We start from the raw sequence: 19,967 nt of genomic DNA, 5'->3' as shown, positions 1-19,967 counted from the left end.
CTATGTTGGCCAGGTTGGTCTTGAACTCTTGGTCTCAAGCAATCCTCCCTCCTCAGTCTCCCAAACTGCTAGGATTACAGGCATGAGCCACTACACCTAGCCACAGTAGCATTATTATTTCTAATAGCCAAACATCCATCAATAATAGAATGGGTAAATTATATTTGTTCAATGGAACATCACACAGCAATATAAAAGAATAAAGTGCTGCTAAAAGCAACAACATGGATGAATTTTATGAAGTGTTGAATGAAAAGACACAGCCACAAACAGGACACATGGTAGGGTTCCATTTATATAAAGTTTTTAAATAGGCAAAACTAATCTATAATGTTAAAAATTTGGGAGGGGCATAGTGACTAGGAATGAGCATGAGGTTGATTCTGAGGTGCCTGTGTTTTGCTTCTTGATCTAGATTACATAGGTTTGTTCATTCTGCAAAAATGTATTGAGGAATAGACAGATGATTTGTACACTTCTGTGTATGAATGTTATATTGTAAAGTTTCTTGAAGAATACCTGTTTACAAGAGTTAGAGAACATGGAAGCTCTTTCTCTGAGATAAAACATCTAAAAAGACAAAAATTAGCCGGGCGTGGTGGTGGGTGCCTGTAATCCCAGCTACTCGGGAGGCTGAGGCAGGAGAATGTCTTGAACCCGGGAGACAGAGGTTCTAGTGAACCAAGATCACACCACTGCACTCCAGCCTGGATGACAGAGGAAGACTCTGAGACTCCGTCACAAAAAAGAAAAAACAAACAAACAAACAAACAAAAAAGCCCTAAGTCATATCATGCCAGTCTCAGCAGTTTGAAACCCTCCATGGTTCCCATCTCTCAGTAAAAGGCAACGTTCTTATGACATCCTTCAAGGCCCCATGTAGTCTTTTGGTCCCTCTCCATCTCTGTCCTCCTGTCATCCACGTCTCCCACGTGCTGATTGGGTCTGGTAGGGTGACTGGGTGGCAAAGACCTCACAGAGGTGCCTTTCTGCTCAGGTGGCAAACAGGAGAGTCTATCTGGGCCCTGCAGGATGGATCCTTCCTGAGTCACTGAATATATTGGAGGTGCAGACAGCGCCAGAGAAAGGCATTGAGCCTGCCAGATCAGACACCGCCTCTTAGGGTCGACGGAACACCCAGGAGCAAAGACCAGAAATTGTGGGAGAAAGGCCTGGAAGGGGGCCGGGGAGAGGCACAGAGACAGCGAGGTGATGCAGGCTTGGTGGGAGCGGGTATGGTAGGCAATGGGGGACAGAGGGGCAGGGCACAGACAAAGCTTGCTGAAGATATGAAGAGCAATTGTGAGCCGGCGAATCCTTGGAGTAGAGGAGAAAATTGAGGTCTCCTGTTCAGCCCGATGCAGGTGAGATGCTGTTGGAACACGTGACAGAGAAAGGGTGTGTGAGCCCAGGGCTTGTGCACTAAGCGCACAGGAGCGAAGGGGGCGAGAAGAAAAAACGACGCCCAGCAAAGAGCGTCAAGGCCCAACCGCCTGCCCCCAACCGGTCTCTAGCGCCTCGTGACCTTCTGCACTCCGTTGCAGGCGTTTGGCACCAGATGGTCCCACGCGCTCTGTTCGACGGTTGGGGGCCGCGGACGCTGGTTGTCAGCAGCACTGGGTCAGCCGGTGAACGGGTGTGCAGCGTCCTCAGCGCCGCAGCAGTCAGCACCTGTGGGTGCTCTAGCTCTTTCCCTCGGGGTCACCGGAGGCAGAGCCTCCCCTACGCGGAGTAGAGGAGCAGCTCACATGGTGCGGGGGTGGGGATCGGGCTTCCTGGAAGGCTGGAAATGGGAGTTGGGATAAGGGGTTGGCGAGGGCGGGGCGGCACCGTCTACCGGGGTGACCGGTGTGCCCTGGCAGCCAGGGAGTCTGCTGCAGGGCAGGTATTAAGATTCGGAGAGACATAGGACAAAGAACCCTCGGCCTCTTCTTTTCAGGCAGCCGCCACAGAGGACACCAGATCATGCCAACACCCCCACAACTCCTGCCCGCCTGCAGGCAGCTCTGGGCTCAGGACACCGCCTGCAAGAACCTTTATAGCGCAGCTCTCCAAACCTTGGAGGCGAGGACATTCTATGTGCCCGCCCTGGAAAGGCCTGAACCTATAACATCTGGGCTGTGATGGTTTCTGAGGTGGACACCAGGTATTCTAAACTGCCCACATGCTTCACCCCAAAACTTCCCTTTCTAACAGGCAGTGTATTTTCACTTCTTTTAAAATATTTGGTAAAACAGCATTTAAGCCTTAGAAAGTTCCCCATCTCACCCCAGCCAGGGTTTGAACCCATGCTGTCTGATTCCACAGATCATGCATTTAACCACCAGACTTTGGTGTAGCCTCACCGTGTGTGCATAATGGATTACACTTGTTTATAATACTTGGGGTGCTTAGCACCATGTCAGAGCTGTAATGAGTACTTGCACTGTTAGGAGGTCTAACATGGTTCAATTTATAAGTGGACCATTGGCCACACCGGGTCTGGCTCAGTCTCCTGGGAGGATGTAGGCAGGGACCACCAATTATCAGCATATCTCCATGATGAATTTCTCCAGACAGCGTATCACTCTGTCACACAGGCTGGAGTCACAGCTCACTGCAACCTCGAACTCCTGGGCTCAAGAGATCCTCCCACCTCAGCTTCCCAAGTAGCTGAGACTGCAGGCATGCGCCACCACGCCTGATAATTTCTCTTCTAATTGAGCTTTGCAGAAAGCCACACAGCTGTCTGAGAGCTATTTTCTCCCAGGTATAGGGACAGGAAATGGCACCTCAGACTTCTGCAGATTCCACCCTGGCTTAAAAGCCCATGCCCCCAAGGACACCAATCTTTCTTACAATAACATAGACTATCTTTCAGGGTCCTGGCCAAGATGGACAACTTGCCAATATTAACTTTTCCAGGCCACAGGGATGATATATATCTCCATAGATTTAGGTCTTGAGTATTTTCTCCTAGAAATATTTCGCAGCAAGGGTCAGCACTGCAGCCTATGGGCCAACAAATTTAGCCTGTAGCCTACATGTAAGGCCAGTGAGTGAAGGATCCTATTAACAATTTTAAAGAGTTGCAGCAGAATACACAGAAACACAAAGAGTCTGTGTCACAGACAACGTGACCCACAAAGGCTATGCTACTTATTAGGCTGGTGCAAAAGTAATTGTGGTTTTTGCCATTACTTTCAAACCGCAATTACTTTTGTACCAACCTCATACTATCTGGCTTTTTAAGAGAAAATTTGCAACTGTTTTGCAGTTGTCTGTGCATAGATCTTCCACAGCTTTTGCTAATTTATTTCTAAGTATTCTATGGGGTTTGTAAATGCTATTGTAAATGGAATCTTTTAAATTTTAATTTTTGATAGTTCATTGGTAGAATATAGGTAATACATATAATACAGTCCAGTGTCGCTTTAACAATGGGAATACCTTCTGAGAAATGCATCATTAGGTGATTTTCGTCATTGTGCAAACATCATAGACTGTACCTACACAAACCTAGATGGTATAATTGACTATACTCCTAGGCCATATGGTATAGCCTGTAGCTACAAACCTGTACGGCATATACTGAATTTGAGGCAATTGTAACACAACGTTAAGTCTTTGTGTATCTAAATATATCTAAACACAGAAAAGAAACAGTAACAATGTCATATTATCTTATGGGAACACTGTCGTATATGCAGTTCATTGTTGACCAAAACCTTGTTATGAGGTGCATGACTGTGTATGTACATAAATGTATATATGCATACATATTGAGTTTGTATATTGAACCTCACTGAAATCGCTTTTGATTTCAGGTAGTTTCTTTGCAGATTCCATAGGATTTTCTACATACACAATAATGTTTCTAGGAATCATGTTTCTGTGAATAAAGCTAGTTTTCCTTCTGTTGTAATCTACATGCTTTTTATTTCTCTTTATTTCCTTCTGTATTTGCCAGGACCAACACTTGTCAGCATGGCACAATCAGGCATTTCTCTTCTAAGTAGGATGTGCAGCCAAAAACTCAGCTGTCTGTGAGCTGTCTTCTCCCAGGAACGAGGACATAAGATGTACATCAGGTAGATACAAGATCCATGCTAGCTTAAAAGCTTTATGCCCCAAGGGCACCAATATCACTTGCAATAATTCCATAGGCCAGCTGTCAGGGCCCTGGGTGAGATTGATAATTGACCAATATCAACTTCCCTAGCCCCTGAAAATGATGATGATGATGGGGTGTGTGTGTGTGTGTGTGTGTGTGTGTGTGTGTGTGTGTGTGTGTACTCACGTACTATATACATATATTGGCATATAGTAGTATATGGACAAAACAACTGCTTTTGATATATTTACTTTTGTATTGAAACCTTGCTCATTTTCTATTTACATTTTGTAGTTTCTTTGTAGATTCTTTAGTGTTTTTTTTTTTTTAGTCTTGCTGTATCCCCCCTAGGCTGGAGTACAGTGGTGCAATCTCAGCTCCCTGCATCCTCTGCCTCCTGGGTTCAAGCGATTCTCTTGCCTCAGCCTCCTGAGTAGCTGGGATTATAGGCATGTGCCACCATGCCCAGCTAATTTTTGTTTTTTTAGTAGAGACCAGGTTTCACCATATTGGCCAGGCTGGTCTTGAACTCCTGACCTCAGGTGATCTGCCCACCTCGGCCTGCCAAAGTGCTGTGATTACAAGTGTGAACCACTGTGCCCAGCCCTCTTTCAGATGTTCTACATAGACAAACGTTTTCTGTGCTTAAAGGCACTTTTCTTTCTTCTCTTTTAATCTCTATGCCTTTTATTAATTTTTCTTATCTTCTACATTTGCTGCAACATCCAGGAAACTATCAAATACAAGAAGAGACAATGGATATTCTTTCCCAGTTCCTAATCATAGGTTAAGAGTATTCAGTATGGTATTAACTGAAGATTTTTTGTAGATATGCTTTATCACAGAAATGAATTCTCTCGAATTCCTGCTTTACTTAGAATGTTTTTGGTAAGTGGTGTGAGACCCACAGCTATTGAGATCACCATAGGACATTTCTCTTTTATTCTCTTAATATGATGAATTACATTGATTGATTTTTAGGTGTTAAATGAATCTTTGCCTTCCTGGGGAAAAACTTACTTAGTCACAAAAGATCATCTTTTTATATTTGGTTTTCCTAAAGTGTTGCCAAAGACTTTTGTGTCTATGTTATGAGCGATATTAATCTGTAATTTTCTCTTCTTGTTAGGTTTTGATATTAGAGTAATACTGGCCTTATAGAATGAGTTACGAAAAGTTGCCCCTTTCTCCACTTTCTGAAAGAGTTTGTGTAACACAGGTAAAATATTGTTCTTACACATTTGATAGAATTCACCTGAAAAACCGTCTGGAACTGCATATTTTTTCTTAGAGGATGTTTATAATTCCCCATTACCCTTTTAATGTCTTTCAGATCTGACTCATGCCCTTCCCTTTTTATTCCTAATATTGGTAATTTGAGTTTTCTCTTTGTTATTTCTTCTTCAATCTTGATAGAGGTTTCTCCATTTTATTACACTTTATAATTTCTATATTATATATAGAAATGTCTATAAATAGAAATTAATAGAATTAATGTGTCTCTATCATTTCTATTTCCGTGTCTATTTTTATTATTTCTTCTTTTCCATTCATTTTATATTTAATTTATTCCTTGATTCTTCTACTCAGGGTAGAAACCTAAATCATTGTTTCTTAAAATGTTTCTGTTTTAAACATAAACGCTTAAAGCTGCCACACTTTAGCTGTCTATCACAAATTTTGATTTGCTGTGTTTTGCTTATTCAGTCCAAAATATTTTATATTTTTCCTTGTTATTTTTTAATATATTGATTATATAAAAGTGTGTCTTGCTTTCATTCTAAATATGAATATGAGTATTTTAAATATTTAACTATTTAAATTTAATATTTATTATAGTATTTATTTATTTAATATTTAATCTGTAAATTTTAGGATTTTGTAGATATCATATTGTAGATATCTACAATTTTGTAGATAGATCTACAAAAATTCTATTGTGATCAGAGAAAACATATTAATCTCAAAATTATTAAGATTTATTTTTTGGCCCAATCTTAATGAACATTCCATGTGCTCTTGAAAAGAAACATGTGTTCAGCTGGTGTTGGGTTATATGTTTTACAAATACCAATAAAGTCAAGTTACAACTTCTGTAATCTTACTTTTTATTAAATTAACAAACTTTATTTTAGAACAGTATTAGTTTCACAGAAAAATTGAGGAGAAAGTGCAGTGTGTTCTCGTGTATCTTCTCCACCCGTACGTACACAGTTTATCCTGTTACTAACAACTTGGATTCATGTGGTACATTTGTTACAATTAATGATCCAATATTAATATATTAACTAAAGTCTATAGTACACATTATGGTTAACTCTACCTGTCATACAGTTCTGTGGTTTTTGACAATTGCATAATGTCATGTACCCATACTGTAGCATCATACAGAATAGTTTCACTACCCCAAAAATCTCCTGTGCTCCATGTAATCCCTTCCTCCCCCAAACTCCTAGCAACCACTGATCTTTTTACTGTCTCTAGTTTTGCCTTTCCAAATGTCGTATAGTTGGAATCATACAGTATTTAACCTATTCAGACAGGCTTCTTTCACTTTGCAGCATGAATTTAATGTTCTTCCATCTCTTTTCATGGTTCAACAGCTCATTTCTTCATATTGCTGAATAATATTCCATTGCATAGATATACCACAGTTGGTTTATCTATTCACTTTTTGAAGGACATTTTGGTTGCTTCTAATTTGGGGCAATTATGATTAAAACCGCTACAAACATTCATGTGCAAGGTGTTTGTTGTTGTTGTTATTTTTGTTTGTTTCATTTTGGAGTATTTACTATCTCTGAAAATTAATATAATGGGGGTGCTAATGCTAATTTTTTAAAATCAAGGTTAGCTCAAGTAGTTCTCCTTATATGTAAACTAGTACCATTCACTCATTAGGATAGCTACATAACTGCAAAATAATTCAAATTACACAGCAACACCCCTTAAAGATTCATCATATACTTAGATGATATGATTCGCACCACTTCCTGGTGGAGGCATTCAAATTATTCACAAGAAAGAGAATGCAATCTTACAAAGTTGATGGCATAGAACCTAAGAAACTTTTTCCATAATTAAGCAGTAATTCACAATACACATATCTCTGAGGCATTTGTTGTTACAATAGATGGGCTTGTTCCTCTCTTTAATTACAAAGAGAATGAGGCCCAAATAAAAAGTATCCTACATTTTTAATGACTGAAAATACAACTCAATACATATTCATATTCACTGGAGCTATAAAGCATAATCACTCTCAGAAAATTCTATAATAAAATTCACATTCATTTCTCCTCCTACTGATCTTACATGTATTAGCATACTAACTAAGCAGAGTGTGGTCACTCCACATTTCCGGAGCTCCTCTAAGCCAATTTCTGGAGCTACTCTAAGATATGGTTGGATTTTCTGAGAATGAAATGTTTTACACTCTATGAGGAACCCAACCAAAGAAGTTGACTAAGATCCTCTTCCCTTTTTCCAAGGGCTTTGATTTCTGATGTTTGCCTCCATATTGGTTAACTGTAGCACCATGGAAAACACAATACATGTATTCTTGTAATAACATTACAGAATTTTATCAAGAATCTCTGGAAAAGAGATAATTATGCTGTGTTTATACTGTCAAAATAACTTTAATAATGTACAAGTCAGTAATTTTATTTTTAAACAGGAAATCTGACTGAATTAAATACAGGTAAAACTTATAGGTGCTCATATCTCATAGATAAGCCAAATAAGATATCCCAAAAATGTTGTCTTAAAACTTATTAACTATAAAGGTTAGGTTCAACAATTGTTTATAAAGGACTGCAGTGGACCCTTTAAATTGAACTTCAGTGATTTGTTCGTATGTACAAGAACATCAAAATCCAGGGTATCATTTCATGAGAGCATGTCTAGAAACTCATCTTACTAAGAATGCAGGAGACTCTGAAAAGGTTGTCTTGTGATGCTTGAAACATATTCATGCTGATTTATGCTGGAGAAGGGGACACTGAGGCATTGTGATCAGCAGTTAAGGGCTTGCTCTTCCAGTTAAGCTGTGGTACATTTCTCCATCACACACTGCACTTGCCAACACTTGTGGTACATCAGTCTTGTTTGACAATTTTGTTCATCTCCCTTTTTCCTTTATGTTAAGGTGATCATCCACCTTACAGAAGCACCCATAGAATGATATTGCTCATTATGAAAACATTCCTTATGTTTAGGTGACTGCTTGTAGACATGCAGTCATTTTAATGTTTCCATTGAGTTATTTCCAAATTACATTGCAAAGGAGATTATTTTTTTCCAACACAGGAAATTAACTTGATATCATCAATAGTATGGAGGGTCTTGTGAGCTTTCATAAGAGATTAAGGCCCTTTATTTATCTGCCTCCTGACAGTGACCTGGGACACTTCAGCCTAGTCTTGAAGTACATATTCTTTTGGGACTCTGCAATCCTATGTTCATATTTTGAATCATCTTGTTCATACATTCCTCTATATGTGGAACTCTGGGAGGCATTTATACCGAGGATGTTCGAAACATCGCAATGCAGTTCTATGCCTGAAGAAGTCTTTTGCCTTGAAGCGGATTTCACATTTATAGTTTTGATGTCTTCATCATGTGGTCTTAAGGACTGCAGCTCCCATGATTCTCGCTGGAGCTGCTTCTTCACGGGCGTGCGCTGGCTAGTTGGCAATTGCTCAGTGATTTCTGAAGGTGCTAGCTTCTCTGCAACCGTGTCCCTCCTTCGTCCAAAAAAGAAGATCTGCTTTGGTCCATCAAGCGCTCTCTGCACATCCTCCAGCATAGTCAGAGCTTCCTCTCCATTTTCTGGATGATGCCTCTGCACCCAGGGCTGCAGCTTTTCTGGGAGGATGGCCAGGAACTGCTCCAGCACCAGCAGCTCCAGGATCTGCGCCTTTGTGTGCACCTCCGGCCTCAGTCAGAGAAGGTGGAGCTCTCCTTATGGACACTCTTCGTGGTGGGGAAGGGCGAACCCAGCGCTGTCAGGGAGAAACTGGGGAAGGCTGGCTTCGCAGCTGCTTCTGGTCCTGGTGGCCGGTGGGGGCCGTAGAGAAACCGTGTTGCCATTTTTTTCTTAAGACCAGGTCTTGCTCTGTCACCCAGGCTGGAGTGCAGTAGCACAATCACAGCTCCCTGCACCCTTGAACTCCTGGGCTCAAGCGATCCTTCTGCCTCAGCCTGCCAAGTAGCTGGGACTACAGGCACATGCCACCATGCCCAGCCAATTTTTTAATTTTTGTAGAGGTAAAGGTCTGGCTATGTTGCGGTAGGCCGTTCTCGAGCGTCTAGGCTCAAGCCATCACAGGCATGAGCCACTGCACCCAGCCATTTTGTACAAGTTTTTATGTGGACATAGATATCAACTCATTTGGGTAAATACTTAGGAGCACAATAGCTGAATCATATGGTAAGAGTATGATTAGTTTTGTAAGAAACCACCAAAGTGTCTTCCAAGTGGATATACCATTTCTCTACATCCTTACCAGCATTTGGTGTTGTCAGTGTTTTGGATTTTAGCCATTCTAATACGTAAGTAGTGGTGTCTCATTATTTTAATTTGCTCTTACCTAAGCACAGGATGTTAAGCATATTTTCATATCTTATTTGTCATCTGTATATTTTTGTTGTTGAGGTGTCTGTTCAGATTTTGGCCACTTTTTAATTGATTGTTCGTTTTCTTACTATTGAATTTTAAGAGGTCTTTTTATATTTCAATTACCAGTCCTTTATCAGAGATGTGTTTTACAAATAATTTTCTCCTAGTCAGTGGCTCATTTTTTCATTCTCTTAATAGTCTTTACCGAGCAGTAGTTTTTAATATTAATGAGGTCCAATTTATCTTTTTTTTTCTTTCATGGATCAAGCTTTTTGTGTTGTATCTAAAAAGTTATTGCCAAACCCTAGATCGCTTAGATTTTTCTCCTGTTATCTTCTAAAAGTTTTATAATTTTTACATCTGGGTTTATGGTAGATTTTGAGTTAATTTTTGTGAAAGTTGTAAGGTCAGTGTCCAAGTTAAACTTTTTACATGTGTAAGTCCAGTTGTTCCAGCACCATTTGTTGAAAAAGCTATCATTTCTCCATTGAATTGCCTGTGCTCCTTGGTCAAATATCAGTTAACTATATTTGTATGGTCTATTTCTGGGCTCTTTATTCTGTTCCATTAATGAATTTATCTGCTTTTTCTTCAATACCACACTGTCTTGACTACTGTAGCCTTATAGTAAGTCTTGAAGTTGGGTAGTGTCAATATGCTTTGTTCTTTAATACTGCGCTGGATATTCTGGTCCTTTGGACTCTCCATATGAACTTTAGAATCAGTTTGTTAATATCCACAAAGTAACTTGCTGGTATTTCTATTGGGATTTTGTTGAAATACAGTAAATTTGAGAATAAATCACATCTCAACAATATTGAGTCTTTCTAAAAATGAACATGGAATATCTTTCCGTTTGATTAGATTTTTTATCTCTTTCATCAGAGTTTTACAATTCTCCTCATATAAATCTTGTGCATATTTTGTTAGATTTATACCTACATATTTCATATTTGGAGGAGCTAATGTAAATGGTATTATAGGTATTATGTGTTTTTAACTTGAAATTCCAATTATTCATTTCTACTACATAAGAAAACACTTGTCTTTTGTGTATTAATCTTGTATCCTGCAACCTTACTATAATCACTTATTAGTTGTTAGAGGTCATTTGTTGTTGTTATTGATTCTTAGGGGTTTTCTATATAGACAATTATGTATCTGCCAAAAATGACAGTTTTATTTCTCCTTCCCAGTCTGTATATATTTTCCGTCCTTTGCTTATCTTGCTTCATTACCATGTTGAGTAGAAGTCCTTGCCTTGTTCCCAGTATTAGAAGAAAAGCACCTAGTTTATCACCGTTAAATATAATGTAGGTTTTTTTGGTAGATGTTTTATCAAGTTGAGAATATTCTACTCTTAATTCTTAGTTTGCTGAAAGCTTTTTATCACAAATAGGTGTTGGATTTTTCTCCAATGCTTTTTCTGCATCTATTGATATGATTATATACTTTTTTTCTTTAGCCTGTTGATATGATAGATTGCATTAATTGATTTTCAAATGTTGAATCAGACTTGCATACCTGGAATAAATTCCACTTGGTCATAATGTATAATTCTTTTTATACATTTTTTGTTTTGATTTGTTAATATTTTATTGAGGCTTTTTCCATTTATATTCATGAAAGATATTGATCTGTAGTTTTCCTTTCTGCAATGGATTTGTCTGATTTTGGTACTAGGATAATGCTGTTCTCATAGAATGAGTTAGGAAGTTTTTCCTCTGCCTCGGTTTTCTAGAGCTGCTTGTAAAGAACTTAATTTCTTTCTCAAATATTTAGAATTCACCAGTAAAAGCACCAGGGCCTAGTGCTTTCTGTTTTGGAAGGTTATTGATTGTTGATTCAATTACTTTGATAGATACAGGCTTATTTCTATTCTCTATCCTTTTGGCAGACTGTGTCTTTCAAGGAATTGGCCATTTAATCTACGTTATCAAATTTGTGGCATTCTAATATTTTTGTTATGCTTTTAATATCTGTGACTCAATAGTGATACTCCTTTTTGTGTCTTCTCTACCTTTTCTTGGTTATTTTATTTAGACATTTATCAGTTTTATTGATATTTTCAGAGTCAATTTTGGTTTTATTGATTTTTTTCTATCGTTTTCCTGTTTTCGATTTCACTGATTTCTGCTCTAATTATTTTTCATTTCACTTACTTTGGACCTAAATTGCTCTTCTTTTTGTAGTTTCCTAAGGTAAGGGTTGAGATTGATTTTAGATTTCTTCTGTTCTAATATATGCATCCATTTCTATAAATTTCCTTCTAAGAACTATATGCTCTGTGTGCCACAAATTTTGCTAAGTTGAGTTTTCACTTTAATTTCATTCAAAATATTTTTTAAATTTTTCTTGAGATTTCTTTGACTCATATGCTACTTCTCTTTTGAGTTTTATCAGCCTTGTTTCATATAATGTGAAGCTCTAGTACTGGGTGCAAAAACATTTAGCATTGTTATGACCTATTGTTGAATTAATCCTTTTATCATTATCAAATAACTCTTTTTATTCCTTATCACATTCTTTGTCTGAAATCTACTCCATTTGATATAACTATTCCAGATTTCTTTACATTGGTGTTATTCCATCCTTATCCTTTCAGTTATATTCGTTTTTGTGTTTCAAGTCTTTTTTGTTTGTTTGTTTTGTTTTGTTTTGTTTTGTTTTTGCTTTTGTTTTGAGACGGAGTCTTGCTCTGTCGCCCAGGTTGGAGAGCAGTGGTGCGATCTCGGCTCATGCAAGCTCCGCCTCCCAGGTTCACGCCATTCTGCTGCCTCAGCCTCCCAAGTAGCTGGGACTACAGTCACCCACCACCATGCCCAGCTAACTTTTTGTATTTTTAGTAGAGACGGGGTTTCACCGTGTTAGCCAGGATGGTCTCTATCTCCTGGCCTCATGATCCGCCCGCCTCGGCCTCCCAAAGTGCTGGGATTACAGGCATGAGCCACTGCTCCCAGCCTCAAGTGTTTTTTTTATACATAGCATATAGTTTTGTATTTTTAATCCAATCTAACAATCTCTGCCTTTAAAATCATACATTTAGACAATTAAATTTAATATGGTTAGATGTCGTTGTGTTTACACTGACAATTTTGCTGTTGCTTCCTGTTTGTTCCATCTGGTCTTTGTTTCTTTTTCCTCTTTGTATACCTTCTTTTGGATTATTTTCATGATTCCATTTTATCTCTTTTGTTTACCTACTAAATATAATTCTTAAGTGTTTTTAAAGTGATTCTTTATATTATATAGGATATACTACATACTATAGTATAAACTATATAGAGTAACATATATAGTCTACCTCCAAGTAATATTATATTGTTTCACATATAGTATAAGAACTATACAATAAGAACAGTACACTTCCATTTCTCTCTTATCATTTGTGCCATTGTGCCATACATTTTACTTTTACAGAAAGTGTTTGACATGCACACACAAACACCCCCATACAAACACATATGTATGTATATGCATATATTTTTATATTTACTTTTTCCATTGCTACTCATTCGCTTGTGTAGATCCAGATTTCTAACTTGCACTATTTTTATCTTGCCCGGACTTCCTTTAGTTTTTTTTTTTTAATGAAAGGTATGCTAGCGATAAGCATTTACGTGTATAAAAAGGTTGAGTTGTGTGTGTGTGTGTGTGTACCTTCACTTTTAAAAGAGTTTCACTGGGTGTAGTTTTAGCACCTGTGTCTCCACATTCTGGCAGGTTCACAGGGTATAGGTTCACAGTATTTTTTTCTTTCGAGTTTTAAAAAATGCTAACTCATTGAGTTCTAGCTTGTGTATTTCCAATGAGAGGTGTGCCATATTCTGTTTCGGGGGAACTTTTGAAAATAATATATTCAAGTTTTGTTCATTCGTCTGTAGCTACATCTTACTTTTTCTTTGTTTCTCATTAGAACAATGCATGTGTTCTACTGGAACACATAATGTGTGCTTTTTCTTGGGATGTCTTTTGATTTTCTCCTAGAGACTAAGCAGTTTGATTATGATGTACCTGGATTTAGTTTTTTTCATGTTTTTTGTTATCTGATATCTTAAATTCATCATTTGTGTGATGGTTTGAGGTAGGGGTAATTTCCATATGCACAACCAATGAACTCAACCACATGTATTTAGGAGTCTGTTATCCTCCCATGTCCTCCCTCCCTATTTTCCCCTTCTAGGAATTCTCCCTCGGCCATCTTTTTTCACACGCCCAGTGACCGAGTATACCTTGATGAGGCCAAAACCTTTTCTAAACTCAAATAGCAAGTCTATGGATTCCTTCTTCCTTTTCCACACATACTCCTGCCATTCAGGCCAACAGAAAATGCTTCAAAATATCTACAAATTTTACTTCTCATCACCTGCACCACCACCACTGTGTCCAAGCTTTCATGATTATGACCATAGCCACCTAAATGGTCTCTCATCCCCAGAAACCAGAATGATCCTATTAAGCCTCAGTCAGATCACGTCATCCTTTGCTCCAAACCCTCCATGATTTCCATCTGTGAGTAAAAGGCAATGTTCTTATCACATCCTCCAAGGCCCCACTTAGTCTCTTCATCCCTCTCCATCTCTATTCCCCCTTCTTCCCACTCTGCAAAGTGCCAACTTCATCCTGGTCCCCTATTGAGTTGCTCACTGCTCCCTGCGGGCAAGAGACATCCTTCCTCTGAGCCTTTACAGTGGCTAGTCCAACTAATTGGAATGCCTTTCCCTCAGATAACTGTGTGGTTTGCTTAATTGTTGCCTTCTAGACTTTGCTCAGATTCCACCTTCCCAATGAGGTTTACCATTTCCAGTCTATTTAAATAGAAACTCACACTTCTCTCTAGCCCTAAACTCAATCCTACGTTGGCTGCCCTTCGTCTCCCTGCAGTTGTTACTGGAACCTATCAAATAATTTACTAATTTATTACATTTGTTGTTTATTTTATTTTCTCCAACTAGAATTAGGTTTCATAAGATTTTTATCCTTGTTTTTAAAAAATTGATGCTATTACCTAAAGTATTCCTTAGACTACTCATTTTGTCTCAAATAATAATATATATGCCCAACTGATGACTAAATGGGTAAATGAATGGCTTTATGAATATCACCTACGTCTTCCATAGCCATGTCAGACTATTAGAAAGTTAACTTAATGTATGTTTTCCAAAACAACTCATGTCCGTTTATCTAAACCAGATGGCTAAAATAGCCCTGGTCTTGTTGGCATCGCCTACTTCCCCTTGCCTCTTCCCTTACCTCTTCAACCATCCCACTGTCAGTTCCTCTAGACTGGGAGCTCAGTGGCTCATTTTTGCATTGGATCACTGCAAAAAAATTTCCTAAGCCTATCTGCTTCTATTCTGGCATCTATTTAATTCTTCCTTTCAGGGAGGCATAGAGTGTTTCTAAAATCTACATATATCATGTAACTTCTTTGCTTATCCTTTCACGATTCCTCATACTTTGTGGATAATGGACAAATGCCCCCTGATGGTATGTCTGTTTGTCCATGATCTGCACTTGCTGAACACAGCAGCCACATCTCCCAGCTTGGGTTTCACTCTCCAACCACATTTGATTACTTGCCTGGTGTCCCACAGGGTCATGATCTCTTTCTTCCTTGACTTTTAATTTAATTTAATTGAATTTAAAGTTCCAGGATACATGTGCAGGTTTGTTACACAGATTAGTCTTCCCTGACTTTTAGCATGCTATTTCTTTGACCCCCAAATAGCCTTTCTCTGCCTGGACACTTCTTCCTTCTTCTTTTTTTTATTATTTTTTATTTTTTCCATCTCTCTCACACCTAGTTTTATGTCCTTCTTACCTACTCCCGTATCGCCACCACTATCTTTCCAGGTGTAATATTTGGTTTATCTATCTGTCTCTCTCTGCTATACTGTAAATTGCTGGGCTGCAAGAGATAAATCTTTGAATTCTATATCACCAAGACCTAGCACTGTTTAATATAATACATTGACTCTTGAACAACACAGGTCTGAACTGCACAGATCCACTTACATGTGGATTTTCTTCCACTGCGGCCTCTCCTGAGACAGCAAGACCAACCCCTCCTTTTCATCCTCCTCCTCCTCCTCAGCCTACTCAACATGAAAATGACAAGGATGAAACCTTTATGATGATCCACTCATCCATTTTCTTTTCTCTAGCTTATTGTAAGTATGCTGTATATAATACATATAACATACAGAATGTGTTAACTGTTCATGTTATCAGTGAGGCCTCCAGTCAACAGTAGGCTACTAGTGGTTAAGTTTTGGGGAAGTCACAAGTCATGCAGACATTTTGGACTGCGTGGGGGAAGCAGCACCCCTTACCCCCACGCATTGTTCAAGGGACAACTGTAATCTGTAAGCAGCTGAAGGAAATGCTTGTACTTTATTTTTCTTTCCACCATCTTAAGATACCTTCATGGGTTGTAAAATACTTTAAAAAGATTGTATTTTCAGCACAGTACAACTCCAAGGTCAGCCAAGTCTGTGTGAAATTATAAATCTTGTGACGATATTTTTGTGGTTAGGACTCGAGATAGACCAGTTATTTTTCCAAATAGAACCTATCCTGCTATTTACCTTAAAAGATAATCATTTGTAATGTGTCAAAGCAACATGATACCAATATCTATGTAATCTATTACATCCTAACAGACTTAAATTTTTTTTAAATTACGGAGCAGTCATGCGTGAGTTCTTTCTTCCTTTTTTCCTCCAGGCCCAAAAGCCTGATTGCCAAGCCAATCATCCATAGGTGAAAGTGTGAATGTTGCTGGACGTGGTGGCTCACACCTGTTATCCCAACTCTTTGGGAGGCCAAGGCGGGAGGACCACTTGAGCCAAGTTTGAGACCAGGCTGGGCAACATGATGAGATCCCCATCTCTCCCCCACAACCCCCTGCAGCCAAAAAAAAAATTGTGAATGTGTGTGAATTACTGGCATACAACTAAATTAAACAAGCAAAAAAGACATTTAAACTCCATGTTCTAGATCCTGGGCCCTGGGCCACAGAAACTTTGCACAGTTAAGCCTGGCTCAACAATCATGGCTTATACAAGTCAGTATTTTCTCCATCATTGAGTTAGAGCAAAAACACATGAGCAGAGGAAACATGGCAGACATAGATAGCAGTGGGTGTCCTGACAGTTCCAAGACAGGAGGAAACCCCCCCAAAGCTTAGGTCTTCCAGGATAACACTGAAACTAGAGTGTAGTGTTGCACGGCTGATACTCACCCATCTCTCTCTTCTCTCCACAGGTGAACATCTTAGGCTAGTGTGTCGACTTCTGACTTGGCTCATCTGAACCCAAGTCCTTGGACACATTCACAAACACCCCAGGGTCTTGGGCTTCCAGTTTGTGCTAGAAGGACAAAGGGCAGGTGAAGCTTGTTTGCCGTAACTAGAAGGAGCAGAAACTGCTCCCAGCAGAACAAGATCAAATCATGGGGAACAGTGGTCACCTGCCATTTCTAGAGGAAGCTTTTGCTTTTGGTCACTGAGGACCCTAAGTCTTACATGAGAAGAAAACAAATAGGGTGATGCTGCATGCTTCTGTCCCCAAAGAATCCCTGTGCAGGTGCCGAGGGTGCCCCAAAGACGAGGCTGTGCTTGCCGTGCCCACCACAGAAGCACATTTGACCTGATCAAAAGCAGGTGGAAAAGGTCCTGAAGCACAGATATTTTCTCAGTGATGTTGTTTTCTCCAAAATGAAAGAGGGAAGGTACCCTGGCTTAGGCCCCTGGTGTTCTGATTGAAGGTGAGAATGGAAGTATCTTCTTCAACATGTTCTCCCATCTGACTGCAACAAGTGTGCTCCAGCCACCAGTGTCCCAGTTGCTCTGAATGATGGTGAGAAGGGTACCCAAACACTTGAATGGTACTGTACCCTCTACTTGCCATCTGAATCCTCACTTGTGGAACCCAGGCACTCTGGCTGTATTCGCGAGTAAGCATAGGTGTGGGACTGTGTCCTGCCATTGCACCATCTTTAATCTGGACTTGTGGACCTCAGGCTCTCTGACTATTCATGGACAGAAGTTTCTGCAGGCACAGGTGGGGTGCTGTTTCCTCCCATTGTACACCTGAATTCAGGACTTGTGGACCCCAGGTGTTCTGGCTGTGTTCATGAACAGAAGTGTCCCCCCCAAACAAACCCATATATGGTGCCATCTCCTCCCATTACAGGTATGGTGCCATCTCCTCCCATTGCAGGCATTGCACTGCCTATACTCTGGACTTATGGCCCTCACATGCTCTGATTGTATTCATAAACAGTAGTTTCTTCAGTCACAGATATGGCACCAGCCCCTCCAACAGAAACAGATGTGCTCAAGCTGAGTGGTCCAAAGGCGTTTGACAGAAGTCATGAACAGAAGTATCTTGGGGCACATGTTTCTTCTCTGTTGTGCAGGCTTCTCCAGCAGTAACAGGTTTGCCCAGGCCATATGGGCCCCAAGCGCTCTGACCAGACACAAGAAGAGAAGACTTGCAGTCACAGGTAGTGTGTTGTCCCCTGCTACTGCAACATAGGTGCTTGGAAAGGTGCAACAGGGTGCTCTGCTTGTGGTGGAAACATAAAGGCCTCCAAGCATAGATGTGCTGCTTTCTCCTTCCCTTTGAGGGATGCAGATGTGCTCTGGCCAGCTGCATTCCAGGTGGTCTGTCTGCAAGACAGAAGTGTCCCAAGCACTGGTATGTGCGGGCTCCTCCAACCACAACAGACGTGCTTTGGCCAGATGGTTTCCAGGTGTTATGAACACAAGAAGGAACAGAGGTGCCTTCTGGAACATGTTTCTTCTCAGTGATGTTCTAAGAGGTGTGCTTTGGCAGGACAGGCCCCAGCTGCTCTGACTGTAGGCAGGGAGGAAAGTGTTTCCCAGGAGTTTTTGCTTTCAGTAGTACTGCCCTCTCCAACTGTACCAGAGGTGCTGTAGGCTTGCAGGAACCCCGGTGCTCATGTGTAAGCCTCCCCAACATAAACTAAGGTGCTGCATGCCCCTCTAGGCCCTGTTCTAAAGCTGAGTGCTTCAGATGTGGAGCTGGGTCTGGGGCAGACACACTGGTCCTAGAGCTGTCATTATCCAAAGAAGCCCCAGAGTCCATGAATGGAAATGGGTCGAGAGAGGGGTTAGCAAAAGGTGAACTGTGCCTGATGCTGAGCATCCAGTGATGGCTCCAGAGCTAGAAGTAGTGGCTGTGCAAATGGGAAAAGGACCCGAGGTGCCACCCAAGGCTGAGTGGGTGCTAGCAGAGATATCAAAGATGGATATGGAGGTAACACGTACGCAAAATCTGATGGCATTATGCTCCCATTGGGTGTCTGGGCTGCAGTAAAGGCTCAGTTTAGAGCTTGTATTGAGATTTTACGTTTCTCAAAGGGTAAATGCTATCAAATACATTGGGGGATCCTGCCAGGGGGAGGCTAGAAAGAGGACATGGTAACCATATTGATTTCATCAGAGTTAAAGGCAGACTTGGCTGCCCAGTTGGTCAAGGTCCTAGCTACTAGAAAACAGACAATTGCTGAAGTAGTGATAAGTATGATGGTGCAGACAGGTATCCTAGAAGACTGACTCTTTGCTGCTGCCCTTTAGGAGCTCCAAATGTGACTGAGAGGTGGCTTCTGGGCTAAAGGAAAGGTTCAAAGTGGGGTAGGGCTGTTTACCATAAACATAGGTGGGTTAGTGGGGACTGCCTTTTGCAGGGGGCTGTCCACTCCACACTGCAATGAGCCAGTCAAATGGGAGTTCCAAGACCAGAGGAAACCTAGCCCAGAGCTTGAGTCTTCCAGGCTAACCCTGGGTCCTGGGGGGACCAGGAGATGAGACCCAGGGAATAGTAGTGTCCATGTCGGTCATCTCAAAGGTTCAAAGCAGGCTGGGAGGTCAAGTCTGCAGATGGGCTGACTGGGCAGTGGAAGTGATAAGGTTGGCCAGTTAATGATGGGTTGATATATTCATCTGTTTTCACACTGCTATGAAGAACTATGTGGGGCTGGGTAATTTATAAACAAAAGAGGTTTAATTAACTCACAGTTCCACATGGCTGGGAGGCCACAGGAAACTTACAATCATGGCAGAAGGCAAAGGGGAAGCAAGGCATGTCGTACTTGGTGGCAGGAGAGAGTGCAGAGGAAACTGCCACTTATAAACCGTCAGATCTCATGAGAATTCCCTCACTATCATGAGAACAGCATGGGGGAGACCACCCCTACAATCCAGTCACCTCCCACCAAGTC

At 40.4% G+C, this 19,967-nt stretch overlaps 1 long non-coding RNA gene and 1 pseudogene across 1 annotated transcript; one reads left to right on the top strand and one right to left on the bottom strand.

Moving 5' to 3' along the window:
* Window positions 1-1,606: 1,606 nt before the first annotated feature.
* Window positions 1,607-18,322, top strand: LINC01801 (long intergenic non-protein coding RNA 1801). Its single transcript, NR_033982.1, has 6 exons — window positions 1,607-1,751; window positions 1,940-2,146; window positions 3,950-4,070; window positions 5,223-5,312; window positions 15,710-15,889; window positions 16,986-18,322. It is a non-coding gene; the product is annotated as a long intergenic non-protein coding RNA 1801 (long non-coding RNA).
* On the bottom strand, window positions 8,710-9,045 carry LOC100419842 (zinc finger protein 396 pseudogene; annotated as a pseudogene).
* Window positions 18,323-19,967: the final 1,645 nt, after the last annotated feature.

Source organism: Homo sapiens, chromosome 19 (assembly GCF_000001405.40).
Source record: "Homo sapiens chromosome 19, GRCh38.p14 Primary Assembly".
Taxonomy (NCBI): Eukaryota; Metazoa; Chordata; class Mammalia; order Primates; family Hominidae; genus Homo; species Homo sapiens.
Note: the sequence above shows the minus strand (reverse complement) of the source record. Positions and strands in the feature narration are given on the sequence as shown.